This window comes from Homo sapiens, chromosome X (genome assembly GCF_000001405.40).
Source record: "Homo sapiens chromosome X, GRCh38.p14 Primary Assembly".
In the NCBI taxonomy this organism is placed as follows: Eukaryota; Metazoa; Chordata; class Mammalia; order Primates; family Hominidae; genus Homo; species Homo sapiens.
This window is the reverse complement of record NC_000023.11, coordinates 73810352-73830842: the sequence shown is the minus strand read 5'-3', so window position 1 is coordinate 73830842 and position 20491 is coordinate 73810352. Positions and strand designations below refer to the sequence as shown.

General features: G+C 38.9%; 1 long non-coding RNA gene and 1 other non-coding gene across 14 annotated transcripts in view; one reads left to right on the top strand and one right to left on the bottom strand.

The window, feature by feature from the left end:
- Window positions 1-10187, top strand: part of XIST (X inactive specific transcript) — a 32059-nt gene extending 21872 nt beyond the window's left edge. For 4 of the 13 annotated variants that reach the window (NR_190998.1, NR_191004.1, NR_190999.1 and 1 more), the window contains 3 exons: window positions 1612-1775; window positions 2859-4728; window positions 9814-10187. This is a non-coding gene — a long non-coding RNA (X inactive specific transcript). Of the gene's footprint in view, window positions 1-1611; window positions 1776-2858 lie in introns of all 13 variants that reach the window. The other 9 variants (NR_191009.1, NR_190997.1, NR_191005.1 and 6 more) reach the window with 6 other exon arrangements.
- TSIX (TSIX transcript, XIST antisense RNA) overlaps window positions 1612-20491 on the bottom strand; it is a 37027-nt gene continuing 18147 nt past the window's right edge. Inside the window, exon 1 of the transcript NR_003255.2 lies at window positions 1612-20491. This exon is cut by the window's right edge and continues 18147 nt beyond it. This is a non-coding gene — a non-coding RNA (TSIX transcript, XIST antisense RNA).

Here is a 20491-nt window from a genome sequence, read left to right as displayed (position 1 = left end):
GGAGTGGGACTATAGCACGTGGCAGAGGCTTACAGCTAAGTTGTTCTTTTAGGAGAACATGGACAACTGTCACATCAGTGACATTGATCACATGGGCAAATCATTCTGTTCCATGTGGTCCCCAAAGTCTCTCTTAAAGCCTTACAGAAGAACTTTGCCAATCATTTACATACTTCAGGATGGCTTGGGATGCCATGGTGTATAATACAACAAGTGAGAGGTGTGTCTTTTTATGCTATGGTTGCTGATTGATGGAAGCCGCATAAATACAAATGGAAACCTGACTAAAAATGGCACAAAGTTATCTGTCATCAGGCAGGAGCTAAAGAACCAGGACCCTACATTCTCTAGGTCAGTGTTGGGAGAGGCTGATTAGCGAGTGAGAATTGGCAGATAAAGGTGACCATTCGGTGCAATAAATCCTGAACGTATAGGCTTTGCCCAGCATTCTTCGTAAATAGTGGGTAGCTATAAATTTCATGAAATATTTTCATGGGTAAGAACTCTTGAAATGTTATAATTGACTAGAAATCTCTGTAGATTTAGAAATAGAGAGTTACTAACAAATTGTTAGAAAGTCTAGGAACTAGAAAGCTAAGTTGAGAGTTATCTAGGAAGATCTATCTATTGTACTCATAATCTTTAGATAAATTCTCCTAGGGCCAGTAGTCTATGTGAATTTTCTTTTTCTTCTTCTTCTTCTTCTTTTTTTTTGTATTTTAGCTGCAATGTTAAACAACCTATGTGAATTTTCTTATTGTGAGAATATTTGCCTTCCAGAGTGACTCACCTTTATCTCAAAGAGCAATATTGTGAGTTTTGAAAATGCTGCTCTAAGGCTGTGTTTTGTTAGTCCTGAGCCAGGAGACTTAAAGCAAACTTGAGGGGTCTTAAAACATCGAAGTGAGCCTTAAACATTGGGAAGACCTTATGTTTTTCCCTCTCATATCTATTATTTTTGTGATCTCAGTTATTAATCATTTAAAGGGACTCTTTCCTAGCTGATTGGCACTTAAAACAGGATGGAAGTCTTTTTTTTTTTTTTTTTTTTTGAGATGGAGTTTTGCTCTTGTTGCCCAGGCTGGAGTGCAATGGTGCAATCTCAGCTCACTGCAACCTCTGCCTCCCGGGTTCAAGCGATTCTCCTGCCTCAGCCTCCCAAGTAGCTGGGATTACAGTCATGCACCACCACGCCCGGCTAATTTTGTATTTTTAATAGAGACGGTGTTTCTCCATGTTGGTCAGGCTGGTCTCAAACTCCTGACCTCAGGTGATCCGCCCACCTCAACCTCCCAAAGTGCTGGGATTATGGGCGTGAGCCACCGCGCCCGGCAGTTCTGGTCTTTAACTAAGGTATAAGGCTATGACTGGTAGTGGTGTCTCTAGTGACTCATCAAGTGATATTTGGCAAGACATTTTCCCATTTATGCCAGTTTCCTATTCTGTTGAATGAGGAAATTTTCTCTCTAAAGACCTAAAAGTTTTGACTTTATAGGTTTCAAAGTTCTGTGGAAACATTTTCTATTGCTTATTAATTTGAATCTTATGTAACTCTAGCACAGTACTCAATATTTATGGCATTTACATGGTTTATCTCATGTTTTTTTATAGCTCTTCATTGTTCCTATCTGCCAAATCATTATACTTCCTACAAGCAGTGCAGAGAGCTGAGTCTTCAGCAGGTCCAAGAAATTTGAACACACTGAAGGAAGTCAGCCTTCCCACCTGAAGATCAACATGCCTGGCACTCTAGCACTTGAGGATAGCTGAATGAAGTAAGTTGTTGATGTTGCAGTCCTGTGAGGATCACTTCAGAACTGTTATAACAGCTGTTTTTTGGGAGCTGGTGTTGGATGGGGTGTGTTGGTCTAATGTGAAGTGGGGCTAAATGTGAGATGGAAAGATGACCAGTCTTCCATATTACTGACTGGGTTCACTGAAGCAACTCAAAGACATTATGGTCTTCTTACCAGTTGTATCACAGAAGAATTTAGCCTTTGCTTGTGTGTTCTATGTCTTCACTGTATAGGCCCTCTGTCATTCTTAGAGCCTTAAACGTTGAGAAGCTTAAAACACCATTTCTGCTTTCTGCTGAAAGGGTAACCCTTTCTCATCTCCGTTTGTGAGAGACTCTGTCGTCAGTTAAGATTAGTGTAAAAAGAAAACTAAACTCTGAAGTAGCCATTATAAAAGTGTGAGAATGAAGTCAGTTTTCTAAAGAGTTGGGGAAAGGTGATGCTAAAGGAGGGGATTGAGCAAGTCCTATCAAAGAGCCTTTTATGAAAATACTTAGTCATCTGTGACATCCCATTTGGCTCTTCCAGAAATCCTAGTAAATAGTTGTAACAGGATGTTAAGAGGCATACATTGTGTGTTTTAAATCCTCTGCTACTCATTAGGTATATGACCTTTGACAACTTAAAGTCTCTAGACTTCTCTGTTTGTGAGGGTTAAATGAAATCATGTATGTAAAGTGCTCACCTATTGCAGTGCCTGGCACATGTCAAGTAAAAGGTAACCCAAGAAGACTCATAAGTTCATTTCCCACAATATAAGTGACCACTAGCACTATCAGGTAGCAGGCAGAGTTGGCATGCTTTGGTTCTATGTAAGAAATCCCTAAGGTAAAAGTTTATAAATAGAAGAGCATCTGTGTTGGTATTGGTGGTTGTTATTATTGTAGTACTATAAGTAGTATTCGTAGTAACAATAGTTTATTATAATTACTAATGACACTTTTTGATTTTTTTTATCTTTCTGTGATGCTTTTCATGCCTCTTGTGCCCCTCACTGTATCTTGCCTCTTCTACTACTTACTTCCTCTGAATGTCTGCCTTTGCTTATCTCTTGCACTCAAGTGTGTATTTCTTTGTCTCTTTCTTTCTTGTCTTTGCTCTTTGTTCTCTATCTAAAGTGTGTCTTACCCATTTCCATGTTTCTCTTGCTAATTTCTTTCGTGTGTGCCTTTGCCTCATTTTCTCTTTTTGTTCACAAGAGTGGTCTGTGTCTTGTCTTAGACATATCTCTCATTTTTCATTTTGTTGCTATTTCTCTTTGCTCTCCTAGATGTGGCTCTTCTTTCACGCTTTATTTCATGTCTCCTTTTTGGGTCACATGCTGTGTGCTTTTTGTCCTTTTCTTGTTCTGTCTACCTCTCCTTTCTCTGCCTACCTCTCTTTTCTCTTTGTGAACTGTGATTATTTGTTACCCCTTCCCCTTCTCGTTCGTTTTAAATTTCACCTTTTTTCTGAGTCTGGCCTCCTTTCTGCTGTTTCTACTTTTTATCTCACATTTCTCATTTCTGCATTTCCTTTCTGCCTCTCTTGGGCTATTCTCTCTCTCCTCCCCTGCGTGCCTCAGCATCTCTTGCTGTTTGTGATTTTCTATTTCAGTATTAATCTCTGTTGGCTTGTATTTGTTCTCTGCTTCTTCCCTTTCTACTCACCTTTGAGTATTTCAGCCTCTTCATGAATCTATCTCCCTCTCTTTGATTTCATGTAATCTCTCCTTAAATATTTCTTTGCATATGTGGGCAAGTGTACGTGTGTGTGTGTCATGTGTGGCAGAGGGGCTTCCTAACCCCTGCCTGATAGGTGCAGAACGTCGGCTATCAGAGCAAGCATTGTGGAGCGGTTCCTTATGCCAGGCTGCCATGTGAGATGATCCAAGACCAAAACAAGGCCCTAGACTGCAGTAAAACCCAGAACTCAAGTAGGGCAGAAGGTGGAAGGCTCATATGGATAGAAGGCCCAAAGTATAAGACAGATGGTTTGAGACTTGAGACCCGAGGACTAAGATGGAAAGCCCATGTTCCAAGATAGATAGAAGCCTCAGGCCTGAAACCAACAAAAGCCTCAAGAGCCAAGAAAACAGAGGGTGGCCTGAATTGGACCGAAGGCCTGAGTTGGATGGAAGTCTCAAGGCTTGAGTTAGAAGTCTTAAGACCTGGGACAGGACACATGGAAGGCCTAAGAACTGAGACTTGTGACACAAGGCCAACGACCTAAGATTAGCCCAGGGTTGTAGCTGGAAGACCTACAACCCAAGGATGGAAGGCCCCTGTCACAAAGCCTACCTAGATGGATAGAGGACCCAAGCGAAAAAGGTATCTCAAGACTAACGGCCGGAATCTGGAGGCCCATGACCCAGAACCCAGGAAGGATAGAAGCTTGAAGACCTGGGGAAATCCCAAGATGAGAACCCTAAACCCTACCTCTTTTCTATTGTTTACACTTCTTACTCTTAGATATTTCCAGTTCTCCTGTTTATCTTTAAGCCTGATTCTTTTGAGATGTACTTTTTGATGTTGCCGGTTACCTTTAGATTGACAGTATTATGCCTGGGCCAGTCTTGAGCCAGCTTTAAATCACAGCTTTTACCTATTTGTTAGGCTATAGTGTTTTGTAAACTTCTGTTTCTATTCACATCTTCTCCACTTGAGAGAGACACCAAAATCCAGTCAGTATCTAATCTGGCTTTTGTTAACTTCCCTCAGGAGCAGACATTCATATAGGTGATACTGTATTTCAGTCCTTTCTTTTGACCCCAGAAGCCCTAGACTGAGAAGATAAAATGGTCAGGTTGTTGGGGAAAAAAAAGTGCCAGGCTCTCTAGAGAAAAATGTGAAGAGATGCTCCAGGCCAATGAGAAGAATTAGACAAGAAATACACAGATGTGCCAGACTTCTGAGAAGCACCTGCCAGCAACAGCTTCCTTCTTTGAGCTTAGGTGAGCAGGATTCTGGGGTTTGGGATTTCTAGTGATGGTTATGGAAAGGGTGACTGTGCCTGGGACAAAGCGAGGTCCCAAGGGGACAGCCTGAACTCCCTGCTCATAGTAGTGGCCAAATAATTTGGTGGACTGTGCCAACGCTACTCCTGGGTTTAATACCCATCTCTAGGCTTAAAGATGAGAGAACCTGGGACTGTTGAGCATGTTTAATACTTTCCTTGATTTTTTTCTTCCTGTTTATGTGGGAAGTTGATTTAAATGACTGATAATGTGTATGAAAGCACTGTAAAACATAAGAGAAAAACCAATTAGTGTATTGGCAATCATGCAGTTAACATTTGAAAGTGCAGTGTAAATTGTGAAGCATTATGTAAATCAGGGGTCCACAGTTTTTCTGTAAGGGGTCAAATCATAAATACTTTAGACTGTGGGCCATATGGTTTCTGTTACATATTTGTTTTTTAAACAACGTTTTTATAAGGTCAAAATCATTCTTAGTTTTTGAGCCAATTGGATTTGGCCTGCTGTTCATAGCTTACCACCCCCTGATGTATTATTTGTTATTCAGAGAAAATTTCTGAATACTACTAGTTTCCTTTTCTGTGCCTGTCCCTGTGCTAGGCACTAAAAATGCAATGATTATTGATATCTAGGTGACCTGAAAAAAAATAGTGAATGTGCTTTGTAAACTGTAAAGCACTTGTATTCTACTGTGATAAGCGTTGTGGATACAAAGAAAGGAGCAAGCATAAAAAAGTGCTCTTTCAAAAGGATATAGTACTATGCAGACACAAGGAATTGTTTGATAAATGAATAAATTATATGTATATTTGAGGCCAATTTGTGTTTGCTGCTCTGGTAATTTTGAGTAAAAATGCAGTATTCCAGGTATCAGAAACGAAAACACATGGAAACTGCTTTTAAACTTTAAAATATACTGAAAACATAAGGGACTAAGCTTGTTGTGGTCACCTATAATGTGCCAGATACCATGCTGGGTGCTAGAGCTACCAAAGGGGGAAAAGTATTCTCATAGAACAAAAAATTTCAGAAAGGTGCATATTAAAGTGCTTTGTAAACTAAAGCATGATACAAATGTCAATGGGCTACATATTTATGAATGAATGAATGGATGAATGAATATTAAGTGCCTCTTACATACCAGCTATTTTGGGTACTGTAAAATACAAGATTAATTCTCCTATGTAATAAGAGGAAAGTTTATCCTCTATACTATTCAGATGTAAGGAATGATATATTGCTTAATTTTAAACAATCAAGACTTTACTGGTGAGGTTAAGTTAAATTATTACTGATACATTTTTCCAGGTAACCAGGAAAGAGCTAGTATGAGGAAATGAAGTAATAGATGTGAGATCCAGACCGAAAGTCACTTAATTCAGCTTGCGAATGTGCTTTCTAAATTATAAAGCACTTGTAAATGAAAAATTTGATGCTTTCTGTATGAATAAAACTTTCTGTAAGCTAGGTATTGTCTCTACAAAATTCTCATTGTATAGTTAAACCACAGTGAGAAGGGTTCTATAAGTAGTTATACAAACCAAGGGTTTAAATACCTGTTAAATAGATCAATTTTGATTGCCTACTATGTGAACTCACTGTTAAAGGCACTGAAAATTTATCATATTTCATTTAGCCACAGCCAAAAATAAGGCAATACCTATGTTAGCATTTTGTGAACTCTAAGGCACCATATAAATGTAACTGTTGATTTTCTCACTTGGTGCTGGGTACTAGGTTTATAAAATTGTATGATAGTTATTATATTGTGCAAATAAAGTAGGAAAATTTGAATAACAATGATTATCTTTTGAATACGCATACGCAAGGGATTGGTTGTCTGAAGAATGCCACTATAGTAGTTATCTATTGTGTGCCAATCTCATTGCTAGGCATTGGGGATGCAAAGATAAACCATCTTTATTGTGTCTTGGGTAGCAGAAGAAAATATGTGTAAAATCAATTTATAATTTGTAAACTGCCACCCATATATAAGCTATATCTGCTGAATGATCATTGATTACTCTTATCCTTAGAGATAACAACTGGGGGCACAAACATTTATTATCATTATTGAACCTACAACAGAGATCTATGTGTAGATTTACAAAGCCTACAGTTCTATACAGATAGGAATGAACTATTGGCTTACTGAATGGTGATTACTTTCTGTGGGGCTCGGAACTACATGCCCTAGGATATAAAAATGATGTTATCATTATAGAGTGCTCACAGAAGGAAATGAAGTAATATAGGTGTGAGATCCAGACCAAAAGTCATTTAACAAGTTTATTCAGTGATGAAAACATGGGACAAATGGACTAATATAAGGCAGTGTACTAAGCTGAGTAGAGAGATAAAGTCCTGTCCAGAAGATACATGCTTCCTGGCCTGATTGAGGAGATGGAAAATTTTTGCAAAAAACAAGGTGTTGTGGTCTTCCATCCAGTTTCTTAAGTGCTGATGATAAAAGTGAATTAGACCCACCTTGACCTGGCCTACAGAAGTAAAGGAGTAAAAATAAATGCCTCAGGCGTGCTTTTTGATTCATTTGATAAACAAAGCATCTTTTATGTGGAATATACCATTCTGGGTCCTGAGGATAAGAGAGATGAGGGCATTAGATCACTGACAGCTGAAGATAGAAGAACATCTTTGGTTTGATTGTTTAAATAATATTTCAATGCCTATTCTCTGCAAGGTACTATGTTTCGTAAATTAAATAGGTCTGGCCCAGAAGACCCACTCAATTGCCTTTGAGATTAAAAAAAAAAAAAAAAAGAAAGAAAAATGCAAGTTTCTTTCAAAATAAAGAGACATTTTTCCTAGTTTCAGGAATCCCCCAAATCACTTCCTCATTGGCTTAGTTTAAAGCCAGGAGACTGATAAAAGGGCTCAGGGTTTGTTCTTTAATTCATTAACTAAACATTCTGCTTTTATTACAGTTAAATGGTTCAAGATGTAACAACTAGTTTTAAAGGTATTTGCTCATTGGTCTGGCTTAGAGACAGGAAGACATATGAGCAATAAAAAAAAGATTCTTTTGCATTTACCAATTTAGTAAAAATTTATTAAAACTGAATAAAGTGCTGTTCTTAAGTGCTTGAAAGACGTAAACCAAAGTGCACTTTATCTCATTTATCTTATGGTGGAAACACAGGAACAAATTCTCTAAGAGACTGTGTTTCTTTAGTTGAGAAGAAACTTCATTGAGTAGCTGTGATATGTTCGATACTAAGGAAAAACTAAACAGATCACCTTTGACATGCGTTGTAGAGTGGGAATAAGAGAGGGCTTTTTATTTTTTCGTTCATACGAGTATTGATGAAGATGATACTAAATGCTAAATGAAATATATCTGCTCCAAAAGGCATTTATTCTGACTTGGAGATGCAACAAAAACACAAAAATGGAATGAAGTGATACTCTTCATCAAACAGAAGTGACTGTTATCTCAACCATTTTGTTAAATCCTAAACAGAAAACAAAAAAAATCATGACGAAAAGACACTTGCTTATTAATTGGCTTGGAAAGTAGAATATAGGAGAAAGGTTACTGTTTATTTTTTTTCATGTATTCATTCATTCTACAAATATATTCGGGTGCCAATAGGTACTTGGTATAAGGTTTTTGGCCCCAGAGACATGGGAAAAAAATGCATGCCTTCCCAGAGAATGCCTAATACTTTCCTTTTGGCTTGTTTTCTTGTTAGGGGCATGGCTTAGTCCCTAAATAACATTGTGTGGTTTAATTCCTACTCCGTATCTCTTCTACCACTCTGGCCACTACGATAAGCAGGTAGCTGGGTTTTGTAGTGAGCTTGCTCCTTAAGTTACAGGAACTCTCCTTATAATAGACACTTCATTTTCCTAGTCCATCCCTCATGAAAAATGACTGACCACTGCTGGGCAGCAGGAGGGATGATGACCAACTAATTCCCAAACCCCAGTCTCATTGGTACCAGCCTTGGGGAACCACCTACACTTGAGCCACAATTGGTTTTGAAGTGCATTTACAAGGTTTGTCTATTTTCAGTTCTTTACTTTTTACATGCTGACACATACATACACTGCCTAAATAGATCTCTTTCAGAAACAATCCTCAGATAACGCATAGCAAAATGGAGATGGAGACATGATTTCTCATGCAACAGCTTCTCTAATTATACCTTAGAAATGTTCTCCTTTTTATCATCAAATCTGCTCAAGAAGGGCTTTTTATAGTAGAATAATATCAGTGGATGAAAACAGCTTAACATTTTACCATGCTTAAGTTTTAAGAATAAAATAAAAATTGGAAATAATTGGCCAAAATTGAAAGGAAAAATTTTTTTAAAATTTCTCTAAATGTAGGCCTGGCTGGGCTTTGACCTTTTCCGTTTTTAAATCACTCACAGAGGGTGGGACAGGAGGAAGAGTGAAGGAAAAGGTCAAACCTGTTTTAAGGGCAACCTGCCTTTGTTCTGAATTGGTCTTAAGAACATTACCAGCTCCAGGTTTAAATTGTTCAGTTTCATGCAGTTCCAATAGCTGATCATTGTTGAGATGAGGACAAAATCCTTTGTCCTCACTAGTTTGCTTTACATTTTTGAAAAGTATTATTTTTGTCCAAGTGCTTATCAACTAAACCTTGTGTTAGGTAAGAATGGAATTTATTAAGTGAATCAGTGTGACCCTTCTTGTCATAAGATTATCTTAAAGCTGAAGCCAAAATATGCTTCAAAAGAAGAGGACTTTATTGTTCATTGTAGTTCATACATTCAAAGCATCTGAACTGTAGTTTCTATAGCAAGCCAATTACATCCATAAGTGGAGAAGGAAATAGATAAATGTCAAAGTATGATTGGTGGAGGGAGCAAGGTTGAAGATAATCTGGGGTTGAAATTTTCTAGTTTTCATTCTGTACATTTTTAGTTAGACATCAGATTTGAAATATTAATGTTTACCTTTCAATGTGTGGTATCAGCTGGACTCAGTAACACCCCTTTCTTCAGCTGGGGATGGGGAATGGATTATTGGAAAATGGAAAGAAGAAAGTAACTAAAAGCCTTCCTTTCACAGTTTCTGGCATCACTACCACTACTGATTAAACAAGAATAAGAGAACATTTTATCATCATCTGCTTTATTCACATAAATGAAGTTGTGATGAATAAATCTGCTTTTATGCAGACACAAGGAATTAAGTGGCTTCGTCATTGTCCTTCTACCTCAAAGATAATTTATTCCAAAAGCTAAGATAAATGGAAGACTCTTGAACTTGTGAACTGATGTGAAATGCAGAATCTCTTTTGAGTCTTTGCTGTTTGGAAGATTGAAAAATATTGTTCAGCATGGGTGACCACCAGAAAGTAATCTTAAGCCATCTAGATGTCACAATTGAAACAAACTGGGGAGTTGGTTGCTATTGTAAAATAAAATATACTGTTTTGAAAACTTTGTATTTTGATGTGACAATTTCTAACTCACTGTCCCTAACCACACTAATTACCGTAAGTTCTTCATTTCTTTTTTCTTTTTCTTTTTAAATTAATAAATTAATTTATTTTTTGGAGATGGAGTCTCGCTTTGTTGCCCAGGCTGGAGTGCAGTGGTGCCATCTTGGCTCACTGTAACCTCTGCCTCCTGGGTTCAAGCGATTCTCCTGCCTCAGCCTCACCAGTAGCTGGGATTACAGTCATGAGCCACCATGCCTGGCTAATGGTTGTATTTTTAGTAGAGACGGGGTTTTGCCATGTTGGCCAGGCTGGTCACGAACTCCTGACTTAAAGTGAAACACCTGCCTCGGCCTCCCAAAGTTCTGGGATTACAGGCGGGAGCCACCGTGCCTGGCCTCATTTCTTTTTTTAAACTACCTTAATCACCCAGTGTGGGTAAATGGTTTGAAGTCTCATTTCTTACAGCATCAGTTGCTTTGGTCAAGGATACTGAGAAGCACAAACCCAGTAAAAAATGTGAGAAGCAAAAAACTTGAGGATCAAAAGTGGGAGAGGAGAAGGGTATAAACTGTAAGGCTGTGGGAATTAAGCATTCATGAAAGAGGCCCAGACCCTGAGTAGGTGAAGGGATCTTCAGTGTTTCTAGAATTCTGAATGATCAAATACCCAAACATTAGATTGGTGACTTTATAGGCAAATGAACCAGCACAGTATTTTTTTTTTTTTTGAGACAGAGTCTCGCTCTGTCTCCAGGCTGGAGTGCGGTGGTGTGATCGGCTCACTGCAACCTCTGCCACCCAGGTTCAAGCAATTGTGCCTCAGCCTCCCGAATAGCTGGGATTAAAGGCGTGTAGTACGACAGCAGGCTAATTTTTGTATTTAATTTAGTAGAGAGAGGGTTTCACCATTTTGGCCAGGCTAGTCTCTTAACTCCTGACCTCAAATGATCCACCCGCCTCGGCCTCCCAAAGTGCTGGGATTACGGGCATAAGTCGCCGTGCCCAGCCCCCAGCACAGTATTCTATAGGCAAGAGTTCCTACTGCTTTGTTGGAAATTAAACTGGAAACTGGTTTTTTTTTTTTTCTCCAGAAAGTCTTAAGCTGTTATGGGCCCAGATGGTTATTCAGTATATGAACTTTTTTTTTTTTTTTTTTAGACAGTGTCTTGCTCAGCCACCCAGGCTGGAGTGCAGTGGTGTGATCTCGGCTCACTGCAGCCACTGTCTCCCAGGTTCAAGTGATTCTCCCGTCCCAGCCTCCAGAACAGCTGGCATTACAGGCACCCGCCATCATGCCCGGCTAACTTTTGTATTTTAGTAGAGACTGGGTTTCACCATGTTGGCCAGGCTAGTCTTGAACTCCTGACCTCAGGTGATCCACCAGCCTTGGCCTCCCAAGGTGCTAGGATTACAGGTGTGAGCCGCCGCACCCGTCCCAGTACATGGACCTTTAAAACCGATGCCTGAAGAACTCTTACCTATGTGTTAACAGTTGAATTTTGTCATTATAAATGAGTAGAGTTTGAGGTGATAAAGTTGACCCATATCTTGGGGGTTGCTTCTGAACTGGGATGGTGCTACATGGACTTTTCTCTTTACTCTTATTTCTTTGCAAGGCTGGATGTGTAGGACAGAGGGAAAGCAGGTGAGGCGGTAAGGAGACTTCCTGAAGTTATTCTTGAGTGTCTTCTGTTCCTTTGTCCATCCCTCTTGATTCCTTCAGCAGATCCTATTCCCATAGGGGCTTACTTCAGTCCCCTTGTCATATTTGCTGTGCTTACTCTTGTGTTTGTGGTGCTTTGGTCCTCAAATTCCTTGATTCTCTTGTAAAATTTGAAGGGAGAGGAAATGAAAAACACCGTATCTCCTGGTTAGTGAGGAAAGGTCAGACAAGGCAATTTTATAGGGGCAGCAGAAATATTTAGAAAATGTCAAAGCATTTGATAGTATTTTTCAGTTTTTGTATTTTTTATGTGGTGTGTATGAAGTGGTCACTGTATGCTTGTAGTTGGATTTGGTGCCAGCCCAACCCACATCCACAAAAACTTGTGCCTCCTATCAATTTACTCTTTTACCCTTGGTCATGAGAAAAGGTAATGTTACTGAGGCCAGTAGACTTAGGCAAGCATCTATCATTCAAATTTCGAAGTGGAATAATTTAAATGGGGTTTAAAATTTAGCCAGCCATTCTATTCACTGTGAATGGATAGGCAGGAAGTGTGCTAATCATAGGTCCAACTTCTGAAAAAGGTGGAGGTAGCAAGGAAAACCAGTTGAAGGACCTTAGTACCTTTCCCATGAATTATAGCAAATGGAGCACCAAGGCAATTACATGGTAGCTGAGGAGTCATTAGTTCTCAAAATTCAAACCCCACTCAGCTATATTGTTTCCATTGGCTTGGTAAAGGTGAACTTTTGAGGGGTTCTTATTGTTAGTATTTCCTGGGTTTGCCACAGTCTTGCTCCCAGTACCAGCATTCTCAGTGACGAGCTTCCTTTTACCCACTCCAGTTTCTCTTCTCTGTGTACTCTGGATCAAAATAGTAACTCCTTTCTAGAGTGCTAGAACAAAAGCTGGCATCACTTGAGGGCCTAAGGAGAGGAGAGCAAAGGGAGAGCAGAATGCAAAGTAGAGTGGGAAAGAAAGTTGGATTCGAGCAGCCTTGCAGGTAGCTAACTACTTAGGCAGAACCTGTCACTTTATGGGAACTCCGTGGTAAGGAAAAAAATTCATAAGCAGACTTTGCAGGCAGGATTTCAAAAAATCTTAGGAATTCTGACTCACATTAAATAGAAGAAGAATGTCAAAGGTTGAGTGGCTTGTGAGGGATGAGCTTTGAGTGGACCCTACTTTATAATATTCCGTGAAGAAATGATTAGATATATCCCAAAGACCTAGAAAAACCCTTCCCCTTGTAGCCTTTTCCTTGCTGTTTTTTTTTTTTGTTGTTGTTGTTGTTGTTACTAATGAATTATTCTGAAAGTATCCCAGGAAACGCAATGACAATGAGAGTGGTGGAACAGATGTGGGTTCTTTCTGGCAGTGGACTATATTGTCTCCCCGCCTCTCCACTCCCAGAGGACATTTGGCTGAAGTACCAGAGTCCAAGAAATGTCTTGTTACTAGGCAGATAGTCTCATCTGCATAGTGTGGTGGTTTTACTCCCTCACTTCAGTTCCACTGTATTTTATTTTGTTTTGCTGCATGATGGTGTTAGCTGTGTAATTCCCATTGGGCCAATTAGAATTGTGTATCTAAATGCACAAAATAAAGATGAGGCATCTGAAACCCAGAGAAAATAACTTGATCAATGTCGCAGCGCAAAATAGCTGAGGTGACCCTAGATCCAAATTCACTTAATTTCTAAACAAATTCTTTTCTCACTGTATATTATCATAGCCTCTTTTATAACGGATACATGCTCATCAGGAAAGAGCTTGGATTATGAGTAATTTACAGTTAGAATGGCTCTTCCTAATCATAGCTAACCTCCAGTGTACTATTTTATGTCTTTATGCTCACGAGGAAATAAAGTCTTAGAGAATATCCAAAGAGAGGGATTATAGTAATTATGACTATTAACTGGTACCTAAATGGGAGCAATGTGAACTACTTAAAGGAAGACACAGGAAGATAATTCATCTACCTCCGATTCCTCTACCTTGGCCCTATACTTTCTAGCCCAGGGAGATAGTCTGAACCAAGTGAAAATCAGTTTTTCTTCTGTTACTACAGGTCTGCTGAAACTATAAAAGTATTAATTTGCCCCCCTGTAGTTTCCCATTGTTACCTCTCTTTTTATATCCATTTTGTGACTATTACTTTTCTTTTTCTTTTTTTTTGAAATGACGTCTCGCCCTTGTTGCCCAGGCTGGAGTGTGATGGCGCAATCTCAGCTCACTGCAACCTCTGCCTCCTGGGTTCAAATGATTCTCCTGCCTTGGCCCCCTGAGTAGCTGGGAATACAGGAGCCTGCCACCACACCCAGCTAATTTTTTTCTTGTATTTTTAGTAGAGATGGGGTTTCACCATGTTGGCCAGGCTGGTCTAGAATTCCTGACCTCGGGTGATCCACCTGCCTCGTCCTTCCAAAGTGGTGGGATTACAGGTGTGAGCCCCCGCGCCCGACCGACTATTACTTTTCTACTATAAATCAAGACAAAAAGGGGCTTGGGGTAGGCAGGGGTTGGAGAACTGGGGAGCAGACAGTCTCAGTTAAACCTTTACTTGTATTTGCTCATGGCTGGAGTCCAGTCGTTGTGCTCCTCCCATTGTGAGCTAGAATACTCACAGTTGCTACTTCCTGAAGAACTGGAAAACTTGTCTGCCATAGTATCCCATAGCATTTGGATTGTGGACATAGGAGGACAGCTGATGCAACCTGAATCTGCAGGGAGATAGACCATGAGACAGAAGGCCGGTTGTTAGAGTACCTTGCATGGTACCATCCTATAATGCCAAACCAATCTTCTCACTGTCACCTCTCATGTTTGAATAATAATTGGAAAGAGCAAGACTTAGCAGGGAATAAAGTTACTTTTGAGCTACCAATTTTACTACTTAAAAAGTGGTGAATAGGTAGAGATGGATTCCAGTTGTCCTCACCATAGTAAGCTGTTGCCTCCAAAAGAAAGAGAATGAACCAAGAAGAATATAGTGGACACTGCATAGTATTGGCTCAACTAGATTCTGAGAAAAGGGACTTTCTGTAAAGGCTGCTACCTGGTCTTTGATACAGCAACTAGACATGTATTTTGGGGTTCTAAGATAAGGTTTTTGGCTCTGAGCAGCAGAGAGCTGAGAAGCAGGACATGAAGAATTGGACTTACCTGAACTATAGCCAAATGGATGTGACCGCTAATTGTAGATGGCAGGCTGGCTTTTGAGAGAACCCAGAATGAATAGTAAATCTCATTTTCAGCAGAAGAGAGTCTGCTATGAGGTTCACAGAAAATAGCTCTAGTAACAACAGCCCCATTGGGCACTAGATTGGATACCAGTTCCCATAGGTAAAACAATAATATTAGCTATTCTGCAAACGCAAAGCAAAAGCTAAAGAAAATCGCTAACCAACCATGACTTCCCTTTAAAATACAGTCTGGAAACAGAAGTCCCTTTATTCCTTCCCTTTGATTTCTTGCCCTTTTCCTGCATTGCTAGATAAGGAATGCAATGGCCAGAAGGAAGGGTGGATAATCTAAATTAAGTAGCGAATATTAGAGAATGTTTACATAATGGTGTTGGGCGGGGGGACATTTAGAATAGCCCCTTCAGTAGCAAGATTATGCTAAGTAAAGTACTTGTCTCATCTTAAGCTATTTTTGTTGAGACAGGGACTGTGCACAGCTCCCTCTCTAATGCCAATCCTTGCTTAATTTTCCCTCCAACGAAGTTTCTTACCTGTTCCTCTTTAGAATAAGAAATGCTGGAGGAATGGTCAGCGTTGAAGGAAGTAAGCCTATAAGGGAAGGCACAGAAGATGACATCAGGCTTTAGAATAGGTAGGCACAGAAAGACTGGTATCAAGCAAGAGGTCCCATATCCTAGAGGTTCAAAACAGATGTTCACTGGTAGGGAGAAAAGTGGGCAGATTTACCTGATAGGCTGATTAAACAGATACAAATGCCATTTAGATGCTTCTATAACTCTTGCCTATATTCTGATTCCTTCTCACCTTAGTGTTTATAGCTTTTGCCCCATCAACTGTTTTCTCTGTACATTTCCTAATAAAATCTCTGAAACACCCCAATCTCATTTTTATAGAGCTAAACTTTATATAAGTAGAGCTGTCTAGTGCCTGTGTGGTGTGATTTCATACAAGAAGGCCTTCTTTCCCAAGCCTATATTTTCCCTCCTTGGTAGCTGATGTCTGAAATTCTGTTATCTGGAGACGAATCTTTGATTCTACATTAAGTGATAAAGCAGGGACAAGTTTATTTTTGTACCTAACAAAAGTACCTTTCTCATAGTGGAAAATGCCTGTCAAATTTTTTGGAATTATATTTAAACTTCAGGACCCTCTAGGAAAGAAAACAAGACTTCCATTTCACACTTAAGGCAAGATCAGCTAATACCATAATATGGGTGGATGCCACAGTTTTTTTCCAACTCGTGGAAAATTTCATTAATTAATCATAGCATTGATTCCTGTTAAGCCTAGTAAGGGACAAAAATGCTCGTTGCCCACCAAAATACATTCTCCCATTCTTGCTTGATGTGTGGCTGCCCAGCTAGGGTACATTTTTCAGCTTCTTTTGCAGTTCTGTGCAGCCAAATGATTGTTATGATCAATAAAATGTGAGTAGAAGTGATGTATGCCATTTCCATGCCTGGGTCCTAAGACATAGGGTATGCTCTCCTTTCCATACTTTCTCCCACCAGCTGCAACTCAGATGTAATGGCTACCCAGTTTCAGTATACAGATGGGAGTGATTCCCTATGAGATGAAAGTACAATGACTTGGAAGGAAATCAAGTCCCTGAATGACTAAGAAACAGAATTCCCTCTCTGATTTGAACTTTTTACATTGATACTGTCATGTAAGAAATAATTAACACTCTTTTTGTTTAATCCATTGAATTGTTGATTCTCTTTCCTATAGTAGCCAATTTTTCTTCTCATAACTAATTCAACTGGATGCATCCCCAGAATCCTTCACGTAGCATTTCAGGTGGCTGCTACTAATAATTTAGAGTTGGCATGCAAGATAAAATTTATTTACCATCCTAGCACTAAAGGGATAAATCGCTGACAGCAGATCCTATTTTGAAAGCCGATTATGAAGAAGCTAGAGAACAGGAGTCTCTGAGAAGAAGGAGTACCATACAGAAGGGAATAGATATTAAAAGAGACTGAGACAATACAGACCAACCTTACCTTCTTTATAACCTTCCCTTAGGCCTGCTCTATGGTTCACAATACAGGTGGGAAAGATGTGCTCAGAGAAATTAGGGCCAACCAGATGGCTGGATGGAAAAGAATGTCTTACATGAAATAGTTTCCCTTGGTGGCAATGCTAGGGAGAGAGAAGATCAATAATGAAAAAAGTCAAAAGAACTATCCAGCACCAGCTTAGGAAGAAAGCATAGGTCTTGCAAACAAGTCAGAACAATGTCTAAGAATTTGCTATGTTAAGTTTTTTTCTTCCAACTTTTATTTTAGGTTCAAGGGGTACTTTTGCAGCAAAAGCCAATGGGTAAATTTCCATGGGTAAATTGTGTGTCATGGGCTTTGATGTACAAATGATTTCATTACACTGGTAGTGAGCATAGTACCTGATAGGTAGATTTTTTGATCCTCACTCTCCTCCCATCCTATGTTAATCTTTTAACATCTTTGGAAAATAAGAATTGGCACTAGCTTATGCATTCCAGTAGCCCATCTACATAAAACCAGTGAGGGGGCCTCATGATATCAAGATAGTGGACTTAAAAGAAATGGGATACGTACTGTTCATCTTGTTTAGTCCCTTTGTGTTTGTTTTTCAGTGTCCTAAAGTGGATATTAAGCAAGCTGAGAGTAATTTGAGTACCGCTTTATTCTGTGGTAGAGTTACCTAGAAAACATATGGGTTGAGGGCATGTAATCATGTCCCCCATATCTGTGAAAATGGACAGTAAGAAGTGGTAAACATTGTTAGGGGCAGGGTTCCACTAGGAAATTTGGATAAAGAGAAATGTAAATTTCATATTTTCTACTCATAGGCCATTTTACCATTAGCAGTAATATCTAAATACTGAAAACAGTAATTATAGGAAATCTTGGGAACTAAAAGTCAACTTAATGATGATTATAATTTTCCTAGACTTAACACCCATTCTTTTGGTATACTGACAGTCCCTAATGAGGATACAAGCCATTGGTCTAAAATAGGCATTGCTTGTCACAACCAAATTCCTCATTTATGTCAATGTCTGCTTTAACTAAGTTCCTTTGGCTTCATATCTATATAGCCTTTCCAACCAGTGAAAGTGTCAACATTCCCACAGTCAGCTGTTTCCTCTATAACTTCATTTACCTTTGATTTGAATTTCATTTCCAGCATTGTGACTTTAGTTTCTTTCTTGAGCTTTCATTTTTATTGGCCAATTCCCTCTTTCATTATATGTTTTTGTTAAATGTCACTTGGGTTTATCACTGGCAGACAAAGAGGCAACACAAACACATGGTTTGTTCTCTGCACATGTACTGAATAGCTGATAAGTGACCAGTCACCAAAGACTGTGAAAGAAGTGATGTGATTCATAATTGATCATGATGCACATCTGTTAGTTATATAGTAATTTACATACTGAAAACCTAGCAGTGAAATTTGTACTTTATTTAATATCACAGTCAATATACCATGGTAACTGAAATTTAAACTGTGTTGTTGGGGTACTTGTATTATTTAACTAAACCATGGTGCAAAGTGAGGAATATCTGAGTCTTTACTTTGAATATTGACCACTTTAGTATGTTTGTGAATATATATGTGAAATTGTTTTTTTTAAACAGTGAGATGTCAATTGTAGGCTCTCATGTTTGCTGTTTTAAAGTAGATGTTCGATAGAGTATAATCACATGTAGATTTCAATAGATGGCCCTATCTACAATGCACTAACTGTCATATACTACACGTGGAGTAAACAAAAAAGTCTATTTTGCTATTTCAGGGATGTCAAGGCCAGTGTCTTCAAGGGGAATTCTGTAGCTTTGTACATAAAGAAACCCAGTTACACCAAAACACTCATTGTCTACCAGACCTTCTGGGATTAATTCTATTCAAGATAGCAAGAAAAATTACTAAGCCAAACAAAATTTTGAATTGCCAATCAGAAATACAGTCACAAATTGGATAAATATTGTCATGGTGGTCTTTTAAACCTTACTTTCAGTTTTTTTTTTTTTTGTGTGAGTTTAGATCAATAACAGGACTTAGAGGCTTTTACCTTCAAAGAGAAAGTGACCTCATGTTCCCAATGACTAGGGCCTCTTGAGAGGAAGTATGCCTAATAATTAAAAGCAAATACTCTAGGGCATCATGGCCCAATATGGTAGCTACTAGCCATATATGACTATTGAGTACTTAAAATGTGGCTAGTACAAATTGAGATGTATTATAAATGTAAAATACATACTGAATTTATGAATTGATTTTTATAATTACCACATGTTAAAATAATATTATTTGGATACAGTAGTTTAAATTACATATATTATTAAACTTTCAAAAATAAAACAAATAGGAGTTGGAAAGCTATGGCTTACCACCTGTTTTTGTTTGTCCCACAAGCTAACAATGGGTTTTCCATCTCTAAATGCTTAAATTTTTAAAGGAATATTTTATTACATGTGAAAATTATATGAAATTTAAATTTCAGTTTCCATAGTACTTATTGGGAAAGTACCATGTCCATTCATTTTCATATTGTCTATGGCTGCTTTTGTGCTATAATGGCACTGCTGAGTAGTTGTGACAGATAGCATATGGAATGCAAAGTCTATACCAGTTATTCTCACCTCAGGGCAATTTTACCTCCTATGGGACATCTAGAAATGTCTGGAAAATGTTTTTATTGTCACAACTGAGAATAAGATGTTATTGGCACCTAGGGAGTAGAAGTCAGGGATGCAGTTAAATACCCTACAGTGAAAAGGAAAGCACTCCACAACAAAGAATTATCTGGCCCAAAATGTGAATACTGTTGAGGTTGAGAAACCCTGGCCTAATCTACTTATTGTCTGGCCCTTTGAGGAAAAAAAATTTCTAACCTCTTGTCTAAAAACAAGTCATTTTGGTTGGGCGCTGTGGGTCATGCCTGTAGTCCCAGCATTTTGGGAGGCTGAGGCAGGTGGATTGCCTGAGCTTAGAGAGTTTGAGACCAGCCTGGGCAAAATGGAGAAACCCCATCTCTATCAAAAATACAAAAAATTAGCTGGACATGGTGGCACACGTATGTGGTTCTAACTACTTGGGAGACTGAGGTGGCAGGATGACCTGAGCCTGGGAGGCAGAGGTTACAGTGAGCTGAGATTGTGCCACTGCACTCCAACATGGGTGACAGAGGGAAGACCCCATCTCAAAATAAATAAATGAAATAAAAACTGTTTTAAAACTAGGACTTGTCAACAGAGAGTCAAACTCTATAAAATATTTGAAGAGATTTATTCTGAGCCAAGTAAATATGAGTGACCAATAGCTCATGACACAGCTCCAAGAGACCTGAGAACATGTACCCAAAGTAGTCAGGCTACAGCTTGGTTTTATACATTTTAGGGAAACATAAGACATCAATCAATGCATGTAAGATGTACATTGGT